This window comes from Homo sapiens, chromosome 12 (assembly GCF_000001405.40).
Source record: "Homo sapiens chromosome 12, GRCh38.p14 Primary Assembly".
Classification (NCBI taxonomy): Eukaryota; Metazoa; Chordata; class Mammalia; order Primates; family Hominidae; genus Homo; species Homo sapiens.
Window position 1 is genome coordinate 28013592 of NC_000012.12, and position 20839 is coordinate 28034430.

A 20839-nucleotide genomic window follows, 5' to 3' on the forward strand; every position below is an offset into this window, starting at 1 on the left:
TGACATTTAAAATCTCATGTCAAGACCAAGGAAAATGAATGATTACATTTATCAGCCTTCTTTGAAGCCACCATTTTGGATTTTCAATAGTTTCTAATTTTACTCTCAGTCTGTACCCTATGTCCATTCTCCCAGTGGATCTCCCTCTTGGCCCTTTCATCCCCACCTTGTGAGCACCTGCAGTTGGCAGCACCTTTCCTTGGGAAAGCACAACCAAGTTTGAGGCCTGTTCTGGCCTGTGTATCAGCAAGCTGAAGGTTGGTAAAATAAACTTATAAACCCACAGACCTGTTTTAGCAATACATCTAAAAAATACATTTACAGTATTCACTGACCCTCCCATGTTGTATTTTGCAGTTAGAGCTGAGCATTTTTTCTGTTTAAGTTTACAGCATCATTAAAAAGAGACAGGGTGAACCTACAATGAGAACAGTGTTTCATTTTAATATTATCTTGAAATGTAACACATTATAAAATTTGTACAGACTAAGGTGTTGTTTTATATATTTTTACACCAGATCGTGAGCCCATGTCTGAGCTCCAGTCATAAGACATATGAACAATCTTAGAAGAGCCACCTTTCCTTGCCCAGGTGCAGGAACACTAAGGTGGCCATGGACATTTGGACATTTGAGCTGAATAGAGCACCTGCATAAATGCCCATGGGGCATTATTTACTCTTGCTTACTCTTCATCCACCTGCCACACACCCTTCTCTCTCCAGAGTTCTCTGTGTTCTGTGGTGTCTTTCTCTTTGGACAGGCCAAAAGATCACACAGGACAACGCAATGCCATTTACCTTGGACTCTGTAGTCTTCATGTTTTCCCAACTTGAATGTTTCTCCTTGATGGCAGCAACTGGATCCTACATTGTCCTATAACTCTCAGAACATATACCACAAACCTAAGCATAAAATTCAGTAAGTGTTCAGTAAATATTTACTCACTAGAGAACAAAGGTTTTTTTTCTAAAAAAAAAAAAAAAAAAAAGAAAAGAAAACAACCCAGGGAACAAAATCTCTAATGGTGAAATTTCAGTTACTTTGACAGGAATATGCAAGATATTTTGGAAAAGAGCACCTTTTTTTTTTCACTTCCAGTCGTATCTGTAGTGTTCTTATAGAGTGCAGACCTCCAGAAGCTTCTGAGAACTACATCCAAGGATGTCTGCTGGGGCTATGAAAGCTCAAGCCTTCTTATTGCAATGGTGGTAGCTAATATGAGGCCTAAATATTGGGTGAAAAATATGGAGGGGCTTCAGGCCTTCTAAAGGTATCCGAATTTCTTCTTTCATCTTTAAAATAAATACCTTCCCACCATTCAAAAATAAATAATTCTCTCAGAATCAGGAAGTTTGTGCATATTTATATCCTTATCCATGTAGGCTTCTGAAAAGGAGCAGAAATGTGATTCCTGTTTAATAGACGTATACACCCCATTGTCTAATTATGTGCATTAATACTTCTTGGAAAAAATGTGGTCTTTCATAACTAGTTTTATACCAGATTCTAAATATTTGTTGAAGTGTCATAGTTTCTTAATCCTAATTAGTATAATTGATTATTAGCAAATTTTTCCATTGTCAAGATATTATTTTTATTGCCAGCTAAAATTACTATTTTCATTTGCATCACAAAACTCTTAAGTGGTTTGGTAAAATATAAAAACATCACAAAACTTCCCTCGAGATGCACTAGATACATATTGGAATTATTTCTATTCCTCTGAGTAAAAGATGGAGAACTTGGCTGTTCTATTAATTCTTACCTCAGCATATTTTGTTGGACAAGGATAATTACCATAACATAAATTATTTTCCCCATTCTATAAGGGAGCAGTTTCTAGTACAGAGTTCATTCCAGAGATATTTCTGTTTTACAAAATGCATAGGAAATAGAGCCAGAGATCTTAGCAGATTCTAATACAGTATAGTAGCTAAAGAAAATAGTGATAATTGTGTTTTTCCATAATTTTTGCCGTCTTATTTGTCATTGTGTGAGGAAATGTTAATTAAAAGCCAGAATGGTTGAATTTATTAAAGTTTCCTTGTAGGTGAACAATGTTAATTAAAAAATGGAAAATAATTCTCTAAATTTTTAGTTATTTTTCATGGTTTCTAGGTTAAACTTCTAACTATAAGAAGTTCCCCATTTTGATTTATAGTTCTTCCTTGAAACTGGAACATATTCCAATTAGAAAGAAAAAAGTAGGTCAAGTTAGTTAAATAAGAATCAACAATGCCCAATTCAAAGTCTTGAGTCCAGTTTATCCTTCTGTGCCTCTTACGCCTATCATCCTTGTCCAGGACTCAACTGCATTACTTTGGATTATCTATTTCTTTGGTGCCCAGCCTGATATTGCATTGCACTTCCTCCCCCTGCTCTAGTCTCTTTCCACTGTGTTTTCCTGAAACCCATTTCAATATGTACCAAGATATAGAGATCTTTGTTTTTGCTTCTTAGCAATGTCCTGTGAGGTGCTTGCTTTGTTTTGTGAATGCCTTGGTGATCCCACTTAGAGGCTATGCTTCCAGGGCCTATGGCTACACGGATGCCCAGAGAAAACTGGGCATTCAGTTCTCTGGACAAGGAAAAAGGCAGAATGTGTGTGAGGGCCTGCAAGGGAAGTGTCTCAAAAGAGAGAATGAGACTCAACAGCTAGTGACCCAATGAGAGACTTGGGAAGACTTTTCTAATGAGGATCTTTGGAAAGAAATGCTGTGTACTGAGTGATGTAACATCCGTGCTCAGTCTTCTCAAGTTCTTAAGCACATTTTATTTGTTTAGCTGATGCTCTGTGTAGTAGTTTTTCTTTGGGAGAGAAGAATATGTGAATAAGTGCAGAATCTTACTTCAAGTCTGGCATGAGACAAGAAAATGTGAATAAGTGCAGAATCTTACTTCAAGTCTGGCCTGAGACATAGTGTCCCACTATGTCTCTCCTTTTGATCCCAGAAAATTTTTCAAAGAACAATCCACTGACTGTCTCTACTCCCTCACCTCTAGTTTGGTTGATACATTCTCTCTGTCAGTTTAATCCCTGCCTGTGGCTTAAACTACTACTAATAGGTGTAGATGATTCTCAAGGATGCCACCTAGTCCAATCTGCTCTCCAGAACTTTGAGCTTGTGTATCCGTTTCTACCTAGATGTTACAGAGTCCTGAACTTCATCTTGAAACTTCTAGGTTCATCATCAAAGTCAACATGTCAAATCTGCACTACTCATCTCCCTCTCCTTTCTCCTAAACCTACCCCTCTTTAGGCCTTCTCTATCTTAATGTTACCACTAGCTATCAAGCATTCTAAAGTAGACATCATACTAGACTCTTTCTTCAATCATCCCACTCAGTCATCAAACCCTATTGAATTTACCCTCAATACCATAAGTTAGTCCCTGACAATTTCTCACTTAGAAAACTGCACAAAACATCACTCTATTTCTTAAAGATGATTTTGTGTTTGTATTCCTCATCAGTCTGTGAGTTCCCTGATAGTGAAGACTGTCTTGTTCACCTCTTTCTTTAGTTCTCTCTCTCTAGAGACTAGCACTTAATGTAGTTGATCAGTTATCTACTGCTATATAACAAGCCACCCCAACACGTGGAGGCTATAAACAATTTGCTCATGATTTGCAGGGCTTGTCTGATGGTTAGTCTCTGCACTACATGGTATTGGCTGAGCTCACTCATGCATCTGTGGTCAGTTGGCACACTGACTAGGGACTGGGCTGGTCTTATTTGGCTTCATGTACATGTCTGGCAGTTCCTGGGACTGTTGGCTGGGGTACCTTGGTTCTCTGCCACATGGCTTCTCAAGTTTAAGAATGCTTGCTTGGGCTTCTTGGCATGGCAGTCCCCAAGCAGCAAGAAGAGCAGAGCAGAAGCTGCAAAGTCTCTTGAGGTCTAGACTCAGAAGTTGTATGATATCACTTCCACTACATTTTCAAAGTCAAAGCGAGTGGCAAAGTCAGTCCAGATTCAATGGGTGGGGAAATAAAGTCTACCACCTGACGGGAGGAACAGAAAAGTCATACTGCAAAGGAGTGTGCACACAGGGAGGAATGATTCACTAGAGCCACACATTGTTTCTGGCACAGAGTTAAGCTTTATAAGGATACGCTTCATAAATGCCTGTAGAATAGACTGAATGGATGGCTGGGTGGATGGAAGGATGGATAAGAGGCAGTATGGCATGGTCACTAGGACACTGGATTAGGAATTCTAGTCCTGAGGCTGATTATCATAAATCATTTGACCCTGGGCAAGCCCCTGTACCTTTTACCCATGTTTCCTCACCTACAAAATAAAAGTAGAAGACTGGATGTGTTTATTTTATAGCTAAGGCTGTCCTTGAGCTACATTTTATGATTCTATAGCTATTAATCATATCATTATGTCACAGGTAACAAAAATCGCTTTCTTGACCTGACTTGATTCATCCATGGCTGCACATTGTTAAGGAAAAATCATGTTGGTGCTCATTTCATAGGAACATCCCAAATGGTGTTTCTATTGTTAGTCAGCCAGCTAGAAGCAAGCACATGCCCATAACAGGCATTCTCTCCACCTTTTTTTTTTTTTTTTGGTATCAATGGTTCCTTTGAAATGACTATCAAGACTTTCTATTTAACACTACTAAAAATATAATTCCTGCCCTGAAATACAATGTAGAATGTATGGGCTTCCTCTCCGTTTATCCCCCTTAATGGAGACAGTTTGGGAAATACTGTTGTGTACTTAGAAAAGATTAGGTTTGCTTAGAATTATACTTAACTTTGCAAAATATATTCTTTTAACTCTTTTCAACTTGGTCTCTGTTTGGTATAAATAAAACCTTTCAGCCTGTGAGTTTGCAAAGGCTTAATTGCCAGGTATTAAGTAAGTTATTTCCTTTGCACACTGAAAATAATATTTTGAAAATCTTTCAAACCCCTGAAAGGTCTTCAAATTATAGAGTAAGAAAGAGTTGAACTATATAAATATTGTTGGGGTTTTACTTTGCCATTTTCTTCTTTATTATGAAATAGTATAAAATGCTATTGGTTTTTCCAATTTTCTGTTCAATACCAATTTATACCATTCGTGGGAGGATGGATGAGGAGGATAGAAGACAGGGTTGATAATGGCCATAGGCGTTCAAGGTCATTTTATCTGATTTAGTAAATGCAGACAATTAGTCTTTTGATACCCTACCTGAACTAGTCTCTTCCTATATGATTTAAGGCTGGTTTTATTTAGATAGCATGTCTTTTAAAAGAGTCTACATGGAAAATGATGTTAATAAAACCTTAAAAGAGAGCCAGATACAACTAATTCTCATGTATTCTTACCTTGGTTAACTCCAAGGGCTGTGTTAAAATGAGCAATTTTGTTCTGAGAGTGGAATTGCTTATAAAATGAACAACTGAGTTATCTGACTCTTGCTTTTAGTAAATGACAAAACAGCTAAAAATACAAAGCATTACAATGGAGCAAGAAGGATTAAAGTACAGATCACATCCTGAAAGAAAAAGAGCTTGTGGGGGAGGAGGAGGGTGGTGGCATGGAAGGGAACGGAGAGGTGATGTCCCAGTGGAAGCAGATGATGCCATATCGTTCAGCAGCACATTAATACTAACAGCATATGCTGTGCTGAGGTAGTCACTGCTCGTACAAGTTTAAAATAAAAAGACATCATGGAGAAGTAATGCAGTAGAGTTTTGTGTAAGGGTGTTAGTTCTTTGGGAGAGAAGGGGAGATGAAGGTTGGAAGTGTAAAGGAGTTAGCTTTCATTAGCATTCAGATGGTTTTCTAGACATCTGATGTCTAGATGTCTAATTCCTAATACAGTGTTCTAGTGCTTAATTCCTTGAATAATGTCTTAGTATTATGTATAGCTTACTTATTACACGGCAATCTTTATTGTTATTTATTTATAATCCTCCTACTTGTAAAAATGATTTGAAGCAGCTTAAAAAGCACAGTTATAAATTCCTCAAACCACTAAAAGAAAAATAAAAGTAAGAACTAAGTATTAATAGAGATCAAGGTGGGGGAAAATAATTATATCAGAAACAAACAGCTAAGGAAAGTTATGGTAGCTCTGAACTTCTTAATGGTCAAGACAGAAAATTTTGATAACAAACTATTTTTCTTGGCCTCCAAATAATCTTAAGAGCAATTTTAGTCATTTTTGAGATGAACATAAGTAATTTAACAATCGCATTAAAGGAAATTGTGAGAAATGATTGAAGAAAACCTTATCCCACCACTCTAAGATAACCATTAACTTTTACTTTATTTGTTATTTTATTATTTTGGAGACGGCATGTTGCTTTGTTGCCCAGGCTGGGGTGCAGTGGTGCCATCTCGGCTCACTGCAGTCTCAAATTCTCTGGCTCAAGGGAATCCTCCTGCCTTAGTCTCCCAAGTAGCTGGGACCTCAGGCATGTGCCACAATGCCCAGAATTTTTAAAAAGCATATATATATATATATATATATATATATATATATATATATTTTTTTTTTTTTTTTTTTTTTTTTTTTTTGGTAGAGAAGAGAGTTCGCCATGTTGCCAAGGCTGGTTTTAAATTTCTGGGCTCAAGCAATCCTCCCGCCTTGGCCTCCCAAAGTGCTGGGATTACAGGCATGAGCCACTGCACCTGGCAACTTTTAAGTATATTAACTTGCAGTCTTTGTCCCATACAAACACATTTTAACATTAGATCAATCGCACTACATTTTGTATACAACTTTTATTTTTCCATAATGGCTACATATTCTTGAAGTTTCACTGGTGACTGCCTATTAAATTGTTAGGCTATGAAATAATCAGTCATGTTGTTATAATGTCTTTTAACCATTTCGGTTTTGTCGACCTTGTTTTCATCATTCTACTATTGTGTAGAATGCTGTAATGAATGTCTCCATGTGTATATTTTTTTTTCACTTCTAAGGAATTATTTCTTCATTTAGTCAATAAATACTTATGAAGAAATTCTTTCTGTGTTTCAGTCACATGTGATGGATTGGGGACATAGAGGTCAATATTTTCAAGGTACAGAGGAAAGGTACATAATTCTGTTTGCGCACGGAGATACCAGGAAAGGCTTTGGTGAATGTGATGTTCGGACAGTCCCAAATAATTTTTTTATAAAGTGCTTGTCAAGTTTCTTTCCAGTTAGGTTTTATCAAATCACAATGTTGATGTGGTAAAAGATTTACTCCTTCCTTCCATTATCAAACCTATATCAATATTTGTGTTATCATTAAATCTAAAGATATTTTAGAATGCTTAACATTTACCTGCAAGTTGCTTTAATTTACTCAGGTTATATTTGAGGATAATATAGTACAGAAGCTATATAGAGTCTGTTCGTGATCTTCATGCTTTCAATTACATGGAATGACATGGCAGACAAAATACAGACCTTGGAGTCCCATTTAAAAGATGCCTCTGCCACTAACTAAGCTTGGGTGAGTTAATCTTGCTAAGCTACAATTTTCTCAGCGGCAAGACTAGAATAACAATCAAGACATTGCATGATTATTGAAAAAATTAAATGAGAGAATGAACAAAGCATCTGGAATATAATAGGTATTTTGGGAATATAATAGGTATTTTGGGAATAACTATGACTGCTTATTTGCATATTGGGGTTCTCTGTATAGATTTCAGGAGTTCTTTATACATATTAACCTTCTATCCTATTTAATGGAAATGACTGCTGCAACATGTTGCTCTCCTATTTTCAAATTACAGCATAATATCTTTATATTTTACTTTTTGAAACTGAGTTTCACTCTGCCACCCAGGCTGGAGGGTAGTGGCACGGTCACGGCTCACTGTATCCTTGACCTTTCCACCCAAGTGATCCTCCCACTTCCCAAGTAGCTAGGGCCACAGGCACGTGCCACCACACCCAGCTAATTTTTAAATTTCTTGTAGAGATGGGGTCTCCCTATGTTGCCCAGGCTACTTTTAGATTTTAAAAGCTCTATACATTTGTTTTTATTTTCTTTATGTTTTAAAGTTGAATCAGTTATTGTTCCTCTACAATGCTGTTAAATATTAGCATTTCTGATTGTTTTTCTACTGTAAGATAATAGAATTCTTTCAATTACCTGAGATCTATTTGGGTGTATAGAAACTTAATGTTTGACATCACAAATATCAGTTGCAATTTTATATTTTTCTACAATAAAAGCTACTGCCTCAATAAATGAGAGTTCAATGTTGCGAGTGTTTTCTTTCCGGTACCCAAGGCCACAGATTTCCCAAGTAAGACACAATAGATCTGCAGCTTGTTGAGACAGATGAAACCACACACCTGACGTTAAATCAATGAAATCATAGAGGCTGAGATAATATTTACAGAATTAGTCATGTTGACAAACAGTAAGCTCTGTTCGTTATGTATTTACTTGTCATAGACCACTAAAGGAAAAAGTTAATATTTCTTAGAACTGTCTCTATTGTAATCTGAATCTAAAACTTCAAATAAAAATTCTGGTCAATTGCAAAGCCTAACTTACACGATCTGGAAATTTAAATTGTGTTTTTTTGGACATGATTTTGAATTAATATTTATATTTAAGAGCTGAAAGATAAAGGAAGAGTAACCCAATTAAAAATTTGTGTTTTTAACAGGAGAAAACCCTTTTGCAATCTAGCCTTATTTATTTACATGGCCTCATCTCCCATAGCTTTGAACTTTATACCAGAAGTTCTGAAATTTGAAGAGATTTTTCTACCTCATATGCCTTTGAACATGACAGTCCGCTTAGGCAAGTCTTATAATGGACTTTCAATTTTTAGAGGTCTGATCAGCTTCTTATTCTTCTAGACCCAACATAAACACAAAAACTTCTCTAAAACCTTCAGGCATTAATGCCTGACTCTCTCCCTTGGTCACCTGGGGAATTATACACTTTCTCTGTTGCATGAAGCTCATTGCATGTGCCTGGGAGGAGGTATTCATTGATTTTGGAGCAAGGACTCTTAAATCAGACATGGGCTTCAGTCCTAGCTCTTCCATTTATTAGCAGTGCAACCTTGAATAAGTCAAGCAGCCTCTTTATGTCTCAGTTTTCTTACCTGTAAGACGGGGATAACGATAATATCTCATAGCATTGTGAGAAATAAATGAAATGATGCATGTTAAACATCTAGTCCAGTTTCAGACACATAATAAAGACATTGTGGATGCGGGTTACTCTTTGTTTCTATAACTATTACCCCATTAGTTAGCTATTGCTGCAGAACAGATTACCCCAAAACTTGGTGGCTTAAAACAACTAACATTTATTTTCTTAGTTTCTGTGGATCAGAAACCTGGATGCAGATTATTTGGGTGCCTGTGTGTATTAGTCTGTTCTTGCATTGCTATAAAGAAATTTCTGAGACTGGGTCATTTATAAGAAGATAGGTTTAATTGGCTCATAGTTCCATAGGCTGTACAAAAAGCCTAACACTGGCATCTACTTCTGGGGAGGCCTCTGAAAGCTTACAATCGTGGCAGAAGGCAAAGCTGGAGCTTGCACGTCACCTGGGGAAAGCAGGAGCAAGAGAGTGGGAGGGGAGGTGCCACACACTTTTAAATGACCAGATGTCATGAGAACACACTCACTATCATGAGGACAGCACCAAGGGGATGGCGTTAAATCATTCATGAGAAATCTGCCCCATGATCCAATCACATCCCACCAGGCCCCACCTCCAACACTGGGGATTACATTTCAATATGAGATTTGGGTGGGGACACACATCCAAACTCTATCACTGTGACTCAGGGTTTCTCACAAGGCTTCAACTAAGATATTCAACAGGGCTGCAGTCATCTTAGAGTTCAACTGGGGAGGATACACTTCCAAGCTCGCTCAAGTGACTGTTGGCAGGCATCAGGCCCTTGCTGCTGTTGACCGGAGACATCAGTTCCTTGCCACATGGGCCCCTCTGTAGGGCAGCTCACAACAGGGCAGCTCACAACATGGCAGCTCACTTCCCTCAGAACAAGCCAGTGGGAGAGTGAGAGGGGAGGCCAAAGCCAGAAGCCACAGATTTTTTTGCCCTCTAATGTCGGAAGTGACAGCTCATCATTTTCGACTTATTCTGTTCATTAGAAGTGAGTCACTAGGTCCAGCTCATGCTCAAAACCAGGAAATTACACAAAGGCATGAATACCAGGAGGTGGAGATCACTGTGGGGGGTAGGGGAGGTGCATTTTAGAGGCCACCTGGGAAAAATGGGGCTGTAGCTTATTTACTAATGTTTGTGTTTTTATATTTTCAATGTTTGACATAGTATCTGGCTCAACACAATCTTACCCCTATGGCTAAGATTTTCTTCGTTCTGGGAAATATGAGAGATTCCTCATTGTCAGTTGCCCACATAGCATTGATTTCATTGCTCTATTTTAAGGGAACAGCAATTACCAAGGCAAGACACCATGAAAGGTGGAAGAATGTAGCCTGCAGCCTGTCCCACCGTTTGGGACAGGTGGGATGGACTGCCGGATAGCGTGTAGGAAGAAGATTAAAACAAATGGGGGAAATTTACACACATCATTTATTTATCTAAAATGTTCTCCCTGTCATAGTCTATTCCCTCTTTAAACTGTGGAAAGAAAAGCCCTAGCATAAACTTGGTGTACCTTTTAAAAATTATTACCTGGTACTTCATTTAAAAGAAAAGGAGAAATTATAATTAACCAGTTAAGACTCACCTTTTCTGACATAGCATGTGGTTGTATACATCTGGTTGTAACCATGGTTCAAGTTGATCAACCACCTACCAGTTGGCTAAATAAATTCCTGATATGCTAGGCATCTGGGATGAACTTCCCTCAGACAAGCCTTTAGCTCATGGCTCATAAGAATGAATCTTGTTTTGTATGATGTCATTGAGTGTGGAGATATGCTGATGGAAAGATGGTGCTTAGCAACCAACTACTTATTTTCTTTAGTCTTCCTACAGGGTAACCACGAAGTCTTTCTGCAGGCCACTTAGAAAATATCTGTATGCCTCCTTCCACTCTCACAAATTCAAATTTTCCCTGTTGTTATTTTGAACATCTTCTTCCATGCTGATGCTTAGAAGTCGTTAAAGCAGCCCCTAATAGCTATTTTTAAATCTTTAACTGTTGATAAGTGAAACTGAGAATTTTTTCTTTCACAATCCTTTTTTTTTTTGTTTTGTTTTGAGACAGGGTCTTGCTCTGTTGCCCAGGCTGGAGGGCAGTGATGCAATCACAGCTCACTGCAGTCTCAATCTTCCAGGCTCAGGTGATCCTCTTGCCTCAGTCTCCTGAGTAGCTGGGACTACAGGCACACACCAACATGCCAGGTTAATTTTTGTATTTTTTGTAGAGATGGGGTTTTGCTACGTTGCCCAGGCTGGTCTTGAACTCCTGGCCTCAAACCATCCTCACGCCTCAGCCTCCCAAAGTACCAGGATTAGAGGCATGAGCCACCGTGCCTGGCCTTTTTCACAATCTTAAGCATAAGCTTGGTAGACCATAGACCCCCAGTAAGTGGAAGCTAGTGTAATAATATTATTACACTGTTTTCCTCAAAATGACCCTGCGAGGTGATTGTTTCACATCAGCTCATGCTCAGGCCCTGTTATTTCTGCATTTATGTGGACAGAGAATTCAGGAGGAATAACCAGTGGTAGACATATGAACACTCCTCACTTGGAAGGACCATCCTGTCTAGGGTGAAGACCTTTTTTGACTGTCCATGATTCTGTTTTTTTTTTCTCTTCAATACATATGCTGCCAACATTCTTCTAGACTAGCCAACTAGTTCGCAGGGCTTCTTCCCATCCGTCTTGCCCTGTAATTCGAGAGCTCATCCTATGGCCTGACTTGAGATGTAAGGCTGCCAAGACTCTTCCTTTCTCTTTGGAGTCATGGAGCACCTATTTCCACTCACCCACCCATCCATTCATTTGTTCATTCTTTTAAAGAAAATAAGATAGGGTTCCTGGGTTCAAAGAGCTTGCAGTCTAGGGGCAGGTGCGGTGGCTGACACCTGTAATTCCAGCACTTTGGGAGGCCGAGGCAGGCGGATCACTTGAGGCCAGGCATTCAAGACCAGCCTGGCCAACATGGCAAAGCCTCCTCTCTACTATTAACAAAAATACAGACATTAGCCAGGCATGGTGGTGCATGCCTGTAATCCCAGCTACTTGGGAGGCTGAGGCATGAGAATCACTTGAACCTAGGAAGCAGAGGCTGCAGTGAGCTGAGATCGCACCATTGCACTCCAGCCTGGGAGACAGAGCCAGACTCTGTCAAAAAAAAATTGTGGGTGCAATAAGATCTGAGCACACATGACCCTGACAGAGCAGCATAGCAGAGGCAGCGTGAGGGGAGCCGCTGTCCAAAGGTTTTGGAGGGAGAAGTCACTGCTGCCGCAAGTGACGAGAAAAGCCTTCTGGAATGTATGATGGGGAGGACTCTGACAGGTGGTGATGGTGAGGGGAACATTCCAGAGCATGGAGAAAGGCGCAAAGATATGCAGGAAGAAGCTGTGAATGAAGACAGCGAGGAGTCCAGTTCACCTGGAACGCAGTGTGTGGCAGAAAGAGCACTGCATGTGGGGTGTGGAGACTGGGTTTCCGTTCTGCCACCTTCCCAGTAAAAAACAAAACAGTGCCAGACTGGCACTGAACAGATGACTTAGCCTTTCTAAGTCTCAGCTTCCTCGCCTGAAAAGTGAGGTCTTCTACTCACACAGCTGTCGTGACAGTTAAATGAGACCAATGAGTGTACTGTGGCTAGATCATTTTTGAAATATTAACAGATGCCCACCTCCCTTCTCCATCTGCCCTCCACAATTTCCACTTTTCTCTTCCTACTCCTGGCCTGTTCTCCTGGCCACAGGGCAAGAATGTGGCAGAGCACAAAGGAGAGAAAAAAGGGAGTCTCTCTCTCTCTCTCTCTCTCTCTGTTTCAAAACCCCACAGCCTTAGGGAAATGGCAAGGACTCTGGAATTATTTAAATTGTTGAGAGTTTGATGAATATTAGGTTTCTCCAGATTGTCACCTGGATTGACCCCAGGAAAGATGGGGCAAGGGTGGGGGTATTGAGGCAGTGGTCCTTGACAGCAGGGCCCGCACAGCCTCCTTGACAGGTGAGCTCTAAAACTCACCTTCTCTAAAGGACATGTGCCTGGACCCCCACCCCTGGAGGTCACACAGCTTTAGAAAGGAAATGGCTCTGCAGTGAGCCTTGGCAAACAAGGCCATAGAGAGCCTCACTGAGAATCCCACACTCTACCCTAGCCAGAAAACCACAGAATGATTCCCCTCCTCCAAAGGGTGGCACCGGAAGTGGCCAAGTGAGCTGGAGGATCCATGCCTGAGGGCCCACAGATGACTCGGCAAAGACAGACGCATGGAGAACCAGGCACATCCCAGACTCCACACCAGCTTGACATTGTTGAATCCTCAAATCTTCCATTGCAACCCTTGAGAAAAAGGATTCAGACTGAACGAATAATCAAATTTCTGCGGCTTCCAAGAAATAGGAACTCTAAGTAGAAATGAAGTTGTTAATAAGAAAAAATACTCAAGGAAACATCTTTCTTGCACGTCAGACTTGTGAACCGAGATGTATATCCACTATGGTACTTTAAAAAGTTAAAACTTAACATTTAAAAACTTAACATTGACGTGCAATGTGATGAACTAAAATCAAAACAAAGCTGGAAAGCTAGGGCAGATGGGGTGTGCACTGCCCTGGAATAGCAACCTACAAGGGCTCTGAAATGGAGCCTGGCTCTTAGGATACTTCAATTCCCTATTATCAGCCTCAGAACAGTAAAACTGCGGCACAGCTGTTCTGCCTGTAAAGGGCAGCTATGTAGGGCAGTTTTCCCAGAAGCTTTCTGTGCTCCCAGATCAGCTCCATAAAAAAGTAAGTGTTCTAAATATCAGGCACGTCAATACTGACAACCACAGCAAATTTAACGCCAAACGTTTTTATCATTGCAGCAGATGGTAGCCTGTTTGTGAAATGGCACTTCACAGAGCAAGGGTGCCCTGCCACACTTGAAATAGCAGGGACCACTTATCATCCTGAAAATCAGAGGAAGCATCAAGTTCTCAGAAAACCTTCGGGGCAACTTAACTGTTTCTTAGCAGCAGCTGCCTGGGTGAAGACATCATTCCATATCTGGTGCTATCCTCCCTTCCTTAGCTGAGCGTTGTTCGTTGATTCAATTAATTAATATTTATTGAACACACTCTCTGGGCTGAACACCATGATAGGAGCTGGGGATACAGCCAGGAACTTAAATAATTATTCCAGGAACTTAAATAACTATTATAATATGTTAGTAACAATAAACCTATAAGGTAAGAAATTATTTGTCTCCTCATTTTACAGATAAAGGAATTGAGATTTAATAGAAGGTCAGACCAGCTCGGATGGGCAGACCAGAATTCAGATTATGCTGGATCTAAAGTGCATGCTCCTAACCACCACATTCCAAGGTCCAGTGAGGAGGATGAGCAGGTTGGGGTTCTGAGACAGAGTGAGGGAAACTATGATTAGGTGCCAAGTGAGAAGTTGAGAGGGCCCTTATCTGCCACAGAGGGGCAAGGCAGCTTCCTAGAGGAAGCCACATTGAACAGAAGGATCATCAAACTAAGTGTGTGAGTCAGAGGATTTGTTCTGGGTCTTGGGTCATGGAAGTTAGTCTACTCTCTTTATGAAATCTATACTCAGTGCCTATGTTTTTCTCATATTTTTCTTCTGTGGAGCAAGAATCGTTGCTTTTTATTGAGGGTGATTTTTTTTTTAATACCTGTCTTCTTACCCTGCAAATATAAAGATAGAACATTCTTGTTCACCGACTGTGGATACTGCCTCGGGGTAAGGTGGTGGGTGGGGCCAACACGGTCAGGGCCAGCGGTCATGCAGGCAGCACTGTGGCCCCTGTCCAGCCCCTAGTTAGTGCTATAACCTCTGGCCCTAGAACGAGGCTCTGAGCAGGCATCTGCAGCCTCTGAAAGTGCCATGAGATGTGTCTGTGTGAGGCCACCCTGCCTCACCCATGGCCAGCATGTGACCTCACTAAGAGTCGGTGGGGACTGGAGCCACAGCGAAGGAGGCAGCGTGCTGGAGAAGACAGTGCGAGGCAGCAAATGACCATTATTACTGATTTGCCTCCGACAAGAAAGAAAAGGACAGCCTCTGTTTAGAAGTAAAATTAGACACGGAGAACCAACGCACTCTCCTATTCTCAGCTCTTGAAAGTGCCCAGAAGCTCCTTTCAGCACTACTACTGCTACCTACCGTCTTGTCTTCTGTAATTAAATCTGGTTTTCCCACAGGCGTTAGGATTAAAGATAACTAAGAACAGTTATTTAATTATGCTTTCAACATTGTTTAGTTACAATGTCTCAATATGTTCCAGAAATTACTATATGTGTTTATTTTTAAAGTATATTTATAAAGTATAGTTTTAAATATACAGTACCTCTGCTATTTTGAAGACAATATATTGTACAATATCATTTTCTCTTTTTGATTGCAAATATGTAGTATTTCACCTAACAGGGACTGAATGCATTTGGAAAGAAGATAGTTTGGGAATCTCACCATTTGTAATGTTTCTTCGGAAAGTATTAGAGATGAAAGTATTGTATCTAGTCTTAAATCAAATTTTAGTAACACATCAATTAAGGAGAGAATGGCATGCATGTGTAAAGGCAGTTGTGATTTTCCATCAGTCTGTTTTTTGGGGTATATTCGAACTGTAATTCAGTCATATGCACCAAACTGGTAGATGTTTTCTTCTCTGTAGCTACTGATGAAAGGAGTCCCTCTTGTACTCTAGAAGCTCACAGAGTTGTTTAATACTCAGGGAGAAATGGGGCCACCCTCTGGGCCCTTGCGGCTTGCTTATGATGTTTTAAAGAGCCCTGTCTGGAACAAAACAGGCAACATTTGTGTAATTGTAAACAGATCCTTAGATCCTTTATAGCTGAGATAATCTGTACAAGGAAAGAGGCTCTCTTTATTCTTTTAATGGAATCAGGATCTTGTTCACTTACTCTCTGTCTGTCGGGGCTGTGGAGTGTGCATCCGTGTGTCCTGCTGAGCAAATGCTCATAAAGCAATACCCCACGCATTAGAAAACCTTTGCTACCCAGAGGCAGGGCACAGGGAGCGCAGAACTGAAATCTGTTATTGATGTCTGTACAGGTGGGTTAGACAGAGCACCCTGAGGGATGTCCAGGTGTGGGAGAGAGGACTTTGAAGTGGGCTTTGGGAAGGCAGGTTCCTGACCTTCTGCCATTTACAAATTTCATGGGCTTGGTCTAGTCCCATAACTTTTCAGGAGCAGGTTTCCTGGTCTATAAAACACATTGGAGCAGGGTTTTTATACCGAGGTGAGTGTAGTGTCAAGTTTAGTGACTATGAACAGAGACCTGGATCCAGCTTGTGTAAGCTCAAGTCTGGCAGTGTTATTTCACAGCTTTGTGACCTTCAGCAAATCACTTAGCCCAGCACTGCAGTTTTGATTGAATAGATTTAAAACCTATCTCATAGATTGTTGTGAGGACTAAATGAGTTAATATTTAGAGCCTGACATCCAATAAATGCTACACAAAGAAGCGTTCCTGTTGGTGGGAGTGTGAATTAGTTCAACCACTGTGGAAGACAATGTGGCAATTCCTCAAAGACCCGGAGGCAGAAATACCATTTGACCCAGCAATCCCATTACTAGGTATGTGCCCAAAGGAATATAAATTATTATTTTACGAAACTTATTCATTATGCATGTGTATGTTCATTGCAGCATTATTCACAATAGCAAAGACATGGAGTCAACCTAAATGCCCATCAATGGTAGACTGGATAAAGAAAATGTGGTACTTATACACTGTGGAATACCATGCAGGCATAAAAAGGAACGAGATCATGTCCTTTGCAGGGACATGGATGAAGCTAAGGCCACTATCCTCAGCAAACTAACGCAGGAATAGAAAACCAGATGTTGCATGTTCTCATTTATAAGTGAAAGCTGAATGATGAGAACACATGGACACATGGTGGGGAAAACACCCACTGGGGCCTGTCAGAGGGTGGACTTTGGGGAGGAGGGAGAGCATCAAAAAGAATAGCTAATGGATGCTGGGCTTAATACCTAGGTGATGGGATGATTTGTGCTGCAAACCACCATGGCACACATTTAACTATGTAACAAACTGGCACATCCTCCACATGTACCTCTGAACTTAAAATAAAAAATAATAAAAAAGAGAAGTGTTGGCCAGGCGCGGTGGCTCACTCCTGTAATCCCAGCACTTTGGGAGACCAAGGCGGGCAGATCACGAGGTCAGGAGATGGAGACCATCCTGGCTAACACAGTGAAACCCCATCTCTACTAAAAATACAAAAAATTAGCCAGGCATGGTGGCACTTGCCTGTAGTCCCAGCTACTCGGGAGGCTGAGGCAGGAGAATGGCCTGAACCCAGGAGGCGGAGCTTGCAGTGAGCTGAGATCGCGCCACTGCTCTCCAGCCCGGGCGACAGAGCGAGACTCCGTCTCAAGAAAAAAAAGAGAAGTGTTCCCTATCGTCACTACTTTTGCACTTTCTGAAACCCAGTTCTGCAAAGACATAATTGGAATATCATTTTAAAGTGTGTTGATTATTAAAAATAACAAGCAAAGATATGCTACATGTCAACATGCAACACACTGACAACTTTTCAATTTGTGCTACCTGTTTAACTTTGCTTTGTATAGACATGGGACAAAGTTTCTTCTGCCACATTTTCTTGCAAATGTATTAATATTGATTAAGAGTGCTGGTGTTTCTTACAATTCAGGCCTACACATGTATCCCCAGTGCAGAATTGTACAGGACACTACACTATTGTAGAACAGATGTGAGAGCCTTAATTAAACGGCAAGAAAGCCAGACAGGCTCAGGTGCTTTAATATCTGATGTTGGGAGAGTTGAGCAATAAAAAGTGGGCCACTAGCATGTCACATACCACATACACATATGTATGTCATATAATAGAGAGTTTTTATGCCCTTCATAAATTTTGATGCTTCTTATATGACTTTTGCATTTGTCATAAAGAATATGTTAGATATGGTTAGTGATTTGACGTGAAAACAGCCTGCTTTTTTTTTTTTTTTTTTTTTTTGAGATGGAGTCTCACTCTGTCACCAGGCTGGAGTGCAGTGGCATGATCTCGGCTCACTGCAACCTCTGCCTCCCGCTTCAAGCGATTCTCCTGCCTCAGCCTCCTGAGTAGCTGGGACTACAGGCACACGCCACCACGCCTGGCTAATTTTTGTATTTTTAGTAGAGACGGGATTTTACCATGTTGGCCAGGATGGTCTCAATCTCCTGACCTCGTGATTCGCCTGCCTTGGCCTCCCAAAGTGCTGAGATTACAGGCGTGAGCCACCGTGCCCAGCCTGCTTTTCCTCTTATAAGCCTCTTGGTTGGTCTAATTAGAAAGAATTCTGAGCTTATAAAGGGGACTGCTAAAATATCAGCAACAAGCTATCATTCATGACTACTTCATGTGAATCAATTTCCCCAGTACTATGAAACCAAAATGAGTTAAAAAACTAGCTGGATGCTGAGGCTTATATAAGAATGCTACCCTCATTCTCAATATCATTCTTTTTTGTGGTTATTAAAACGGCCTTATTTTTTCATTGATTGAGTTAATAATAAATGAGTATTATGAATTTGTATTTACAAAATATAATTACACTGACAAAACAGAGCTTTTGTGTAGTCTGTAACTGGGTGACTGACCTACCTGTTTTACCAGGGACTGTCCCAATTCTTGCCTTAAAGTCCTTAATTCTAAAACCCCTCTGTTGTTCTGGTCAAACTGGGATGTCCAGTCACCCTGTCTATATATTAGAGCGCTGTGTAGGATTTAGTTTGAAAAAAGGATTTTGCGGCTAACATTGTCTTAAAAGCACTGAGATAGATGGTCTGTGTGGTGAGCAAATAATTTGTTGTTCAAACCAGGACACCCTGGAGAGTGAAGGGGCATGAACCAGGTGAGAAGCACACATGCTATCTCTAAGTTTCCTCCCTATTCTGAAAGGCTAGTACACTCTTTGATTGCAAGGTAAGTAAAAACCTTTTAGTAGAAATCATTCTGGATATTTCACACCACTTTATGCTACAGGATCACTGATCTGAGCATAAATTCACATTTTTAACTTGATAATAAATATAGAAGATAAACAAGATGAGTCAGAAAAGAATACTTGCGAATACCTGGTTAGACCTGGGAACTGGTTGGTTAAAAAGATGAATCCCTAATGTCAAATGACTTTCTTGTGATTCACTTCATTTCTCGTGGAAGCTAAATGAAAAGCAAAAATGTTAATTGATGGTTGTGGTAAGTCAGGCTCCAGTTGACTAAGGTTTTCTTTTGTCTAAACCCATCTCCAGGGTGAATAAATAGAACTACTCCGTGAAAGAACAAAATTGATGTGGTCTGTTACCTCTGGATCATCTCAAGGAACAATACTTTCAAAGCCTAGCAACTTGCAAACTTCCTGTCTGAGAAGGATTGGTGGTAGGGGGATGCTTGGGAACATAACACCCCTGCCCCACACACCCCACACCAGCTGCTTAGAAGGCAGGAAGCAGGATCCAGGCCTCCAGGAAATGTGCTTTATGGGATCTTGTCCACACATATTTGGGTCTTCAGCAACCTGTCCTAACCTGCTTTATTTTAGTGACTGTTACTAACTTTTTAAGCTCTGAATCAGCAAACTCTCTCCCCCACTTTTTTTTTCCCCTGAGGACATTCAAAGATCATCCAGCCCACTTTAGTTAAAGTAGAAATAGTGGCATGGTGGCTGTGGGTCTGGTGGTGTCACTTCAAAGCAAATGAGATACCCTTGATGATTCTGGCAAGGTGTGGTCTCCCACTGTCGGTCTCTCCCCCATATATGATGAAGGTACTTTTTAGGTGGTAAAGGAATGTCCTTGCCCAGTGGTAGTTAGGTGTAAATACTCTACATTTTATATTTTTTCTTTTCATGTTGAATATCAAACGTGGTATAAATGATGAAACCGATCACTGCATTATTCCCAGGCCTTTTACTTAGTGTGTCTCTGCTGTTAGCATTTGCATGGATCTGTGTCATCATTCTGATTCATCCTGCTGAATAATCTATCATTTCTGCTCCCTTTTCCCCATCCTCCAACATCCTACTCAGGGCTGTTTCAGGTGATTCTGAGACCCATTGTATCTTCTACAGATGAAGCACTTTCCTGAAATTCCTGGATATAGTCTTCTGATCAGTGGATTTAAGCAATGTACATGAAGTTTATATGCGGATTTAAGTCTATGGATTTAAATGATGGAGAGCATCCTTTTTTTTTTAATGGCTAGTAATTGGGCTATTAGTAGGACCATGATGAAAACAGGGAGGGGGCTTGTTTTAAATAGTTGCATGTAAACACACACTAGAACTTTCATGTTACTTAAGGTCACATTGCTGGCTGAACAGATCACAGATACTAAAAACCACTCCTGTTTACTGAGTGACCATGTTCTACACAATTTATATTTATAACTCATTTTATCCTCAGAGCCACTCTATGAGGTAGGTATATTTATTGCTCCCACAGAATTTAGGGACCTTATACAAGTTCTCCCAACTGGCCAGTTGTAGAGCTACCACAGTGAACTCCTCTAGTTTACTTGAGGCTGGAGAGGGCTCTCAAAATATGAAACTTCCAGAGTTAAGACTGGCTAAGTCCTTGGCGAACTGGGATGAGTTGGTCTCTTTCTAGGTAGGACCAGGCTCTGAATCCAGGAAGTCAGGCTTCAGAGGGTACAC

The 20839-nt window shown here is 40.4% G+C and overlaps 3 annotated features.

Moving 5' to 3' along the window:
• Positions 9448–10647: an enhancer, noted in NCBI's record as "BRD4-independent group 4 enhancer chr12:28175972-28177171 (GRCh37/hg19 assembly coordinates)". NCBI's record gives its function as "activates an origin of replication core promoter dependent on BRD2, P300/CBP, MED14 and CDK7 cofactors, and independent of BRD4, by STARR-seq in HCT116 cells {active_cell/tissue: HCT116}" and the evidence as "EXISTENCE:reporter gene assay evidence [ECO:0000049][PMID:35650434]".
• Positions 9691–9891: a silencer, noted in NCBI's record as "peak1635 fragment used in MPRA reporter construct". NCBI's record gives its function as "represses an SCP1 promoter by STARR-seq MPRAs in K562 erythroleukemia cells {active_cell/tissue: K562}" and the evidence as "EXISTENCE:reporter gene assay evidence [ECO:0000049][PMID:32103011]".
• Positions 13746–13970: a silencer, noted in NCBI's record as "fragment chr12:28180270-28180494 (GRCh37/hg19 assembly coordinates)". NCBI's record gives its function as "represses an EF-1alpha promoter that drives an FKBP-Casp9 reporter gene in an ReSE screen in HepG2 liver carcinoma cells {active_cell/tissue: HepG2}" and the evidence as "EXISTENCE:reporter gene assay evidence [ECO:0000049][PMID:32094911]".